The sequence below is a fragment of the Homo sapiens genome, chromosome 10 (genome assembly GCF_000001405.40).
Source record: "Homo sapiens chromosome 10, GRCh38.p14 Primary Assembly".
Lineage (NCBI taxonomy): Eukaryota > Metazoa > Chordata > Mammalia > Primates > Hominidae > Homo > Homo sapiens.
This window is the reverse complement of record NC_000010.11, coordinates 69425398-69435085: the sequence shown is the minus strand read 5'-3', so window position 1 is coordinate 69435085 and position 9688 is coordinate 69425398. Positions and strand designations below refer to the sequence as shown.

The following is a 9688-nucleotide window of genomic DNA, read 5'->3' as shown; positions in this document are numbered from 1 at the left end:
AGGCCAGTAGCGCAAGTCAAGCGCAGCCTGCCAGGCCAAGTACATGGAAGGAGCCCAGTGGGCCCAAGCAAAACTCAGGCAAAGGCGCCACCGGCCACAGAGGTTTCTGGTTGGCGAAGCGGCACCTTCAAGGATCCTGTAACATGAGCCACTGTGTCTGGCCCCAAATGGCAATTTAAATCAGAGCAGAAATTTCAAGATGGGGGAAGACAAACAGAAAACAGTAGTGAGCAATAGATATAGTTAAATCTAAATGAATGCTACCGATATGGTTTGGATTTGTGTCCCTCCCCAAATCTCATGTCAAATTGTAATCCCCAGCATTGGAGGAGGGGCCTGGTGGAAGGTGATTGGATCATGGGGGGAGGGTTTTCCCCTTGCTGTTCGCGTGATACTGAGTGAGTTCTCATGAGATCTGGTTGTTTAGAAGTGTCTACTACCTCCCCTTCATTCTCTTCCTCCTTCTCCAGACATGTAGGACGTGCTTGCTTTCCCTTTGCCTTCTGCCATGATTGTAAGTTTCCTGAGGCCTCCCCAGCCATGCTTCCTGTACAGCCTGTGGAACTGTGGGTCAGCTAAACGTCTTTTCTTTATAAATTACTGAGTCTCTGGAAGTTCTTTATAGCAATGTGAAAATGGACTAATACAGCTACCATAGGACTCAGCAATCCCTCTTCTGGGCATATACACAAAGGAAGTGAAATCACCACCTCATAAAGATAACTGCACTCCCATGTTCATTGTGTCATTATTCACCATAGCCAAGATATGGAAACAACCCAAGTGTCTGTCCACAGATGAATGAAGAAAGAAACTGGTACATGTATACAACATACATATATACACATATATTCAGCCCTAAAAAGGAACAAGATCTTGCCATTAGCCGCAACATGGATGAACCTGGAGAATATTACACTAAGTGAAATAAGCCAAACAAAGAAAAATATTACATGATCTCACTTATATATGGAGTCATTTTAAAAACTGAAATATACAAAGATAGAGAACCAGACAGTGGTTACCAGGAGCTGGGAGTGAGGGAGAAAGAAATGGAAAGACATAGGTAGAGAACACAAAGTACTAGACTTGAGGGATGAAGAAGTCTAGAGATCAAATGTAGGTAGATCTAATAAAATGTAGATCTAATTTTATTACTTAGAGCTCTAGGTAATAAAATTGTACAGTCAATGAGATTCATGCTAAATGAGTAGATGTAGCTGTTCTTGCCATAAAAACAAAAAAAAAGGTAACTGAGATGATGGATATATTAACTTGCTCCATAATAGTAACCTTTTTATTATCTATATGTATCCCATAATATCACCTTGTATACCTTAAATATACACAATAAAATTTATTTTTTTAAAAAAATCTAGGGCTGGGCATGGTGGCTCATGCCTGTAATCCCAGCACTTTGGGAGACCAAGGCAGGAAGATCTCTTGAGCCCAGGAGTTCAAGACCAGCCTGAGCAACATACCAAGACCTCGTCTCTACACACACACACACACACACACACACACACACACACACACAAAAAAAAAAAAAAAAAAAACCTAAATGGATTATGATAACATGACTGGGTATGAGATGTGTGTGTGTAGATATAGATATGTTTTTAAGTGAGAACTCTTGGAATAAATAATCCATATTTTAAAATACTCCAAGACAGCTGAGACCAAGGGCTAAAGCTGGGAGACTGAAAAAATATAGACCACCAGGGCACTACTCATTTCTCCAGCTCTGATCTGCTGTTGTACCAGGGGTCTAATCGGGCCTGTGTCTGCCTCCTTCTTGAATAGCCCAGAGAATTCATCTAAACAGCTTCCTACAGCAACTCCCTACTCCAGGGGCCAGACAGAAGTTCCAGACCAGTGTTGTCTCTGGGGACATTGACACAGCAGCCAAGTTGATTGGTGCTGGGGCAGCCACAGTTGGTGTGGCTGGTTCAGGGGCTGACATTGGAACTGTGTTTGGCAGCTAGATCATTGGCTATGCCAGGAACCCACCTCTCAAGCAGCAGCTCTTCTCCTATGCCATTCTGGGCTTTGCCTTGTCTGAGGCCACGGGGCTGTTCCGTTTGATGGTTACCTTCCTCATCCTCTTCGCCATGTGAGGCTCTGTGGGGATCACCTGCCTGTCCCTGCTGCTGCGACTCCATGCCATTCCTGGTGCTGGGGTGTGCTAAGCTTTACCATTAAACACAATGTTTCCCTAAAAACAAATGAACAGGCCTGGCGAGGTGGCTCACACCTGTAATCCCAGCACTTTGGGAGGCTGAGGCGGGTGGATCATTTGAGGAAAGAGTTCGAGGCCAACCTGACCAACAAGGTGAAACCCTATCTCTACTAAAAACACACACACACACAAAAAAAATTAGCCAAGCATGGTGGTGCACACCTGTAATCTCAGCTACTAAGGAGGCTGAGGTAGGAGAATTGCTGGAACTCAGGAGGTAGAGGCTGCAGTGAGACGAGATCATGCCACTGCACTCCAGCCTGGGCAACAGAATGAGACACCATCTCAAAAAATAAAAATAAAAACAAACAAAACAAAAAAATACTCCGAGACTAAAGAAGTTAAATGATATCAATGAAACCCAGGACCTTAAGTGGAGAAGAGGAGAGAATAGGGAACACAAAACTTTCTAAAAATTTTACTTACCTTGAAAAATAAAAAGTAAGTAAAATATCTTATTGGGGAAAATGTAGCTATTTAATTTTTATGTATTATTAGAGAACTAAAACTTTAAGGTGGTTAGAAACTCAAAAGCAGGTATTCTAGAATTTGACCAAGAAAAAAAAAGGAAAGAATGAGATAAAGAGAAAAGAACCATGTTGCACAAAATAAAGCATAAATGTAAAACATGATGAAAGGAAGAAAAGTATTTCAGTTACTACAACAAATATGAATGGGTTTATGCACCTATTCAAGAGATTGTCAGTTGCATTGAAAAATAATCTAGCTATATGTGGTTAATGTAAGATGTACCAAAAACAAAGTGAAAAAGGAAAGTTGAAAATAAAGGAATAGGCAAAGAGATACCAAGCAAAAGCAGCCTACGAAAAAAAATCAGAATCACAACATTAGTATCAATGTGACAAGATAAAATGCATGAAAAGGCCATGCATGGTGGCTCAGGTCTGTAATCCTAGCATATTTCAAGGTCAAAGCAGAAGGATTGCTTGAGCCCAGGAGTTTGAGACCATCTGGGCAACATGGTGAAACCCATCTCTACCAAAAATACAAAAGGTAGCCAGGCATGGTGGAGCCTGTAGTCCTAGCTACTCAGGAAGCTGAAGCAGGAGAATCGCTTGAGCCCAGGAGGTGGAGGTTGCAGTGAGCTGTGATCGCGCCACTGCACTCCAGCCTAAGTGAAGAGTGAGACCCTGTCTCAAAAAAAAAGAAAAAAGAAAAAAAAAAGAAGAAGAAAAACAAAAGCATGAAACTGGACGAAGTATATTATGTAACTTAAAAACCTTTGGAAAAGCAGCCGTGGCTGAAGCCTGTAATCCCAGCACTTTGGGAGGCCGAGATGGGTGGATTGCTTGAGCTCAGGAGTTTGAGATCAGGCTGGCAACATAGCAAAACTGTGTCTCTACAAAAAATACAAAAATTAGCCGGGAGTGGCAGCATGCATCTATAGTCCAGGAGGCGGAAGTTGCAGTGAGCCAAGATGGCACCACTGCACTCCAGCCTGGGTTACAGAGCCAGGCCCTGTCTAGAAAAAAGGAAAAAGAAAAAAAAAAGAAAGAAAGAAAAAAAGAAAAACCTTTGGAAAAGCTAGAAATCTTTATGTACCAAATAACGTAGCAGCCAAATATATAAGGTAAACATTCCTAGAAATGCAGACAAAATTAATAAAGCAATATAGTTGGACATTTTAATATACATGTTCAAAACTTGATATATCAAGTAAGCAAACAATAATCATGTATAGAGGATTGAGCAATAAAATCAATAAACTCAGTTTAATAGGTACATTTAGAATTTTTGGCCGGGTGCAGTGGCTCACACCCGTAATCCCAGCACTTTGGGAGGCCAAGGTGAGCGGATGGCTCGAGGTCAGGAGTTTGAGAGGTCAGGAGTTCAAGATCAGCCTGGACAACATGGTGAAACCCCGTCTCTACTAAAAAAATACAAAAATTAGCCAGGCATGAGGGTGCATGCCTGTAGCCCACGCTATTCAAGAGGCTGAGGCAGGAGAATCACTTGAACCTGGGAGGTGGAGGTTGCAGTGAGCTGAGAACGAACCACCACACTCCAGCCTCAGCAACAGAGCGAGACTCCATCTCATTAAAATAATAATAATAATAATAATTTTTAACGCCACGAATACAAAATATATATCCTTTTCATATGCCCATGGAAAGTTTACCAAAAGTAGTCATGTACTTGTGGAAATTTTAATAAATTCTGAAAAGTAGAGACTTCAAATGAAGGATGTGCTGATCAAAGCCATTAAAACTAGAAAAAAGTAAGGCCAGGCATGGTGGCGTCACCTATAATCCCAGCACTTTAGGGGGCTGAGGTGGGAGGATCACTTGAGCCCACAAGTTCGAGACCAGCCTGGGCAACATACTGAGACCTCATCTCTTTGAAACATTTTTTAAAATGACCGGGTGCGGTGGCTCACGCCTGTAATCCTAGCACTTTGGGAGGCCGAGACGAGTGGATCACGAGGTCAGGAGATCGAGACCATTCTGGCTAACACGGTGAAACCTCGTCTCTACTAAAAATACAAAAAAAAAATAGCCGGGCGTGGTGGCGGGTGCCTGTAGTCCCAGCTACTAGGGAGGCTGAGGCAGGAGAATGGCGTGAACCCGGGAGACGGAGCTTGAAGTAAGCTAAGATCGCGCCACTGCACTCCACCCTGGAGGACAGAGCGACACTCCGTCTCAAAAAAAAAAAAAAAAAAAGAAAAAGAAAAAAAAATTAGCTGGGTGCAGTGGCAGATGCCTGTAGTCTCAGGTACTCAGGTGGCTGAGGCAGAGGAATTGCTTGAGCCTAGGAGTTCAAGGCCGCAGTGAGCTACAATCGCGTCACTGCATTCCAGCCTGGGTGACAGAGGGAGACTCTGTTTAAAAAAAAAAACATTTTTAACTATTAAAGAAAAATTAAATAATCATGTTATTATGTTAAGACATATAGATATAAATTCCAGAAAAAATGACTAAAAGAATTGAAATCAATTGCCTCTGGGGACAGGAATCAAGATTAGGGAAGTATTAGAGGAGAAAACTTTCTATTGCTATTAGTCTTATGGTATTATTTGACTTCTTAAACTATATAAATATATCAATTTGATAAAGATTAAATTAAGCAAAATTAAAGAGTGAAGTGAAAGCAGCTCTGGAACTTTTTACTTTTTTTTTTTTTTTTTTTTTTTTTGAGACAGTTTTGCTCCTGTTGCCCACGCTGGAGTGCAGTGGCGCCATCTCGGCTTACCACAACCTCTGCCTCCCAGGTTCAAGCAATTCTCCTGCCTCAGCCTCCCAAGTAGCTGGGATTACAAGCACCTGCTACCACGCCCAGCTAATTTTGTATTTTTAGTAGAGAGGGGGTTTCACCATGTTGGTCAGGCTGGTCTCAAACTCCTGACCTCAAGTGATCCACCTGTCTCAGCCTCCCAAAGTGCTGGGATTACAGACATGAGCCACTGCACCCAGCCTTTTCTTTCTTTTTTCTTTGAAGACAGGGTTTTGCTCTGCCACCCAGGGTGGAGTACAGTGGCACCATCTCGGCTCACTGCACCCTCCACCTCCCAGGTTCAAGGGATTCTCCTGCCTCAGCCTCTCGTGTAGCTGGGACTACAGGTGCACACCACCATGTCTGTCTAATATTTGTATTTTTAGCACAGTCAGGGTTTCACCAGGTTGGCCAGGCTTGTCTTGAACTCCTGACCTCAAGTGATCCAGGCACCTCGGCCTCCCAAAGTGCTAGGATTACAGGCGTGAGCCACCGCACCCAGCCAGCTCTGGAACTTTGATCCATCCTGATATAGTAGAAAGAATATGGATAGTCAGTTAAAGCCAAGTTTGAATTTTCCCTGTCTTACTTATTAGTAATAGGATCTTGGACAATTCATTTAGCCTTTTGTCTGGGTTTCTTCCTTTGTAAAATGGGACACTGACCTGTACAGCCCCTATAGGAGAGACAATACTGGGCTCCAGCCCCTTGAGATAAACCCTGTATCCACTGCCCACCCCTACCCCAGCACAGGCAGGACCCCCCAGCCACAGACACTTGTGGGTTAACTCAGCCCATCTGCCCCTGCTTTCACCTCCTGGTTAAAATTGTTGTTTTGGTTTTGGTTTTCCGTACATCATAAGCATTGGGGGGTATTTTCCACAGTGTCAAGGTCCGTGGGTAAGGATTAGCCACAGCTTGGAAATTTCAAGTAGAAAATAGAACAAAATGGCTTTGAGAGTATTAAGTACAGGTGTTTTTATATCTACATCTGTATTTGAAAAGAAAATGTATCTCTTTATGCTTTAAACACTGTAAACAGATCACTGCAAAAACAAAAACCTGGGGCAAAATTCAAAATTGCTAAGAATAATAAAACTCACTTCTTGTGTTCTTATAAAGATTTGTTCCATTCCCGTGTTTGCACACACATGCATCAGGGAGCCCAATCCTTTCTCTCAGTGGAGGGAGGGCAGTTGGTGGTGACGGGTAGGGAGGCAGGTGTTTGAAGAAGCAGTCACAATGCAGCGTACTAAGTGTGGCTGTGGGGAGGAGCAGTCGATGGCTCTGTGCTGTTCAGGCTCGGCAGCAATGTTAGAGACCCGCCTGATTATCGAGTTGCCCAGCTAAAAGGACGTGGAAGAGGGTCTCAGAGAGAGAGCACAGTGATGCCTAAACATGGCTGCAAACTGGAACAACCTGGGGAGCTTTAAAAAGTACTGATGCATGGCCGGGCATGGTGGCTCATGCCTGTAATCCCAGCACTTTGAGAGGCCAAGGCAGGCGGATCACCTAAGGTCAGGAGTTCGAGATCCCCCTGACCAACATGGAGAAACCCCATCTCTACTAAAAATACAAAATTAGCCGGGGTGGTGGTGTGCACCTGGAATCCCAGCTACTCGGGAGGCTGAGGCAGGAGAATCACTTGAACCCGGGAGGCAGAGGTTGCAGTGAGCCGAGATCACACCATTGCACTCCAGCCTGGGCAACAAGAGCAAAACTCTGACTCAAAAAAAAAAAAAAAAAAAAAGTACCGATACCTGGTTCCCACCCCCAGACATCCTGACTTAATTGGTCTGATGTGTGGCGTGGGCAGCTGGAGTTTTGGAAGCTCTAGGAAATTCCAATGTGCAGCAAAGTTCAGGAGCCGCTGGCCTGCATGAGGGCCTGAGGCAGGAGACTGGGGCTTTCTGTAAATCGAATGGAAAGTTGGAGGAGAAGGACAAACTGTGGGCCTGGAGAGATGGGGATGCGACAAGATTTAGGATATAGAATGGATGGGAGTAGGTGGTAGAGTGGAGAGAGGGAAGGAGGAAGAAGCTGATGGTGATGCCCAGGTTTCAGGCTTGGGTAACTGGATGGAGGTGGTACATTTTCTGCAATTCAGAACACAGCAGAACATGGTATGCACAGAAGACCTGCTGGTTAGAGATGATATATCATCTTGGCTCAATACATAGTAGCCTCAACCGCCACCGCCGCCACCACCACCACCACGATCATTATCATCATCATCATCATCATCATCATCATCAATCTGGTGGAGGCTTCTTAAAAGCCTTTGTGGTCACCAGGATTAAAGCAGTGAGGCTGCCCTCTAGTGTCGTTTGTTTTTCTTTCTTTTTTTTTTTTTTTTTTGAGACAGAGTTTCACCCCGTGGCCCAGGCTGGAGTGTAGTGGCACGATCTCGGCTCACTGCAAGCTCTGCCTCCCAGGTTCACGCCATTCTCCTGTCTCAGCCTCCCAGGTAGCTGGGACTACAGGCGCCCGCCACCACGCCCGGCTAATTTTTTGTATTTTTAGTAGAGACAGGGTTTCACCGTGTTAGCCAGGATGGTCTTGATCTCCTGACCTTGTGATCCGCCCGTCTCAGCCTCCCAAAGTGCTGGGATTACAGGCCTGAGCCACCGCGCCTGGCCTCTAGTGTCATAATCTGTGTATTACAGGCACTCCTGCACTTAGGCTACAGTCTGCATATCTCTGCAGGGGATGAGGCTGGGCCCACGTAGGAGCCAGAGTGGGAGTGGAGGGTCAGGGATGAGTAAGGCATGGTCTCCCCTGTAATGCTCAGGCCAGGATCTCCCAGGCAAGCCCCATTCTTGGCCCTACTGTGAGTAAGGGTCTCCTTTGGATGAGTCGCTGTCTCTGCAAAATGCTCACACGGAGGAAGCCCGGAGCAGGGAATGGGTGCTGGGCAGTCATCCTGGAGGCCTAAGATCCAGTTGCGGCTCCCCTAGTACTTGGCTGTCTGACCTGGAGGGAGTGCCTTTCCTGGACTTCAGTGTCCTCATCAGGGCTGGGCATCTCTGGAGGATGACGTTGTGTCTTTGCAGCTGACCACAATAGCGGGCAGGACCTACATTTCCCAGCCCTCCAGAAGAGACAAGAGGAAGCTTCTCATGTTCTCCAGAAGGGCCTTCCCAGAGCCAGCAAGGGGCAGAGAGCAAGTGCCCTGGAAGGCTTCCAGGAGGAGGTGGATTAATGAATTAGTAAATAGTGTCTGTGGCAAGACATCCCACCTTTGAGACACTGAGGAGAAACTTGCAGACACAGCAAGGCCTGGCAGCAAGAGAAGAAAGGCTGTGGGCTCTAGAGTCAGAGAAACCAGGCTTTCACTGTTGGTTCCCCCGACTGTGTGACCTTGGACATGTTATTTATTCCATCTGTGAAATGAGGATATAAACAATTCACAACAGCAAATGCTTATTTAGCCCTTTGTGTCAGGTACTGTTGTAAGCACTTTGTCTGTATTAACTAATTTAATCTCATAACAATCCCATGAGGTAGTACAAATTTTACAGGTGAGGAAAAGGAAGCACAAAGAGGTTATGCAACTTGTTCAGTCACCAGGCACGTGGCTGGTGCTCAGTAAATAGTAGCGACGCTGTAACCACAGAGATAACAATCACTGATTGCACTGAAACAGGTGAGCTTATGGGCAGAGTCAAGGGAAAGGCTGGGTGGGCCAGTGTCAAGGGAGAGAATTTCAAGAGACAGAATGTGATATCCTCCAGCAAGCATCAAGCACAAGGCATGGCTTTTTATTTGTGACCAGATCGTGATACCCCATTGTCCCTGGGGCTTCCCAAATGGGACCACCTGGGCAAGGAGGGGCAAGGGCTGTTAGAACTGGTTTATTCCCACTGGGTCCTGAAGAAGGAAGAAGTTCCCTTTCTCAGCTTCCCATGTGGCCTGGGGTGGTCATGTGACCTAGTTCTGGCCAATTAGATGTGAGGGGCATCTGCTGGGGGGAATCCTGGGGAAGGCTTTCCTCCCTGACCAAAAGAGAGAAGCCTAGAAGGAGACTTATTTTCCTTCCTGCTCCTTTCCTGGGATGAGAGTGCAGTTAGATAAAAAGATTGTTGGAGCTGTTGCAGCCCTCTTGCAGCTATGAGGGGAAGGCCAAGAAAAATCAAAGTTCCCAAAGAGCTTTTGACATCACTGAGCTGTTTCTCACAGAATCACCTATTTCCAGATGCCTGGTTATGTGAGAAAGAT

The 9688-nt window shown here is 45.3% G+C and overlaps 1 pseudogene; it reads left to right on the top strand.

Annotated features, from left to right (window-relative positions):
- On the top strand, positions 1673-2220 carry ATP5MC1P7 (ATP synthase membrane subunit c locus 1 pseudogene 7; annotated as a pseudogene).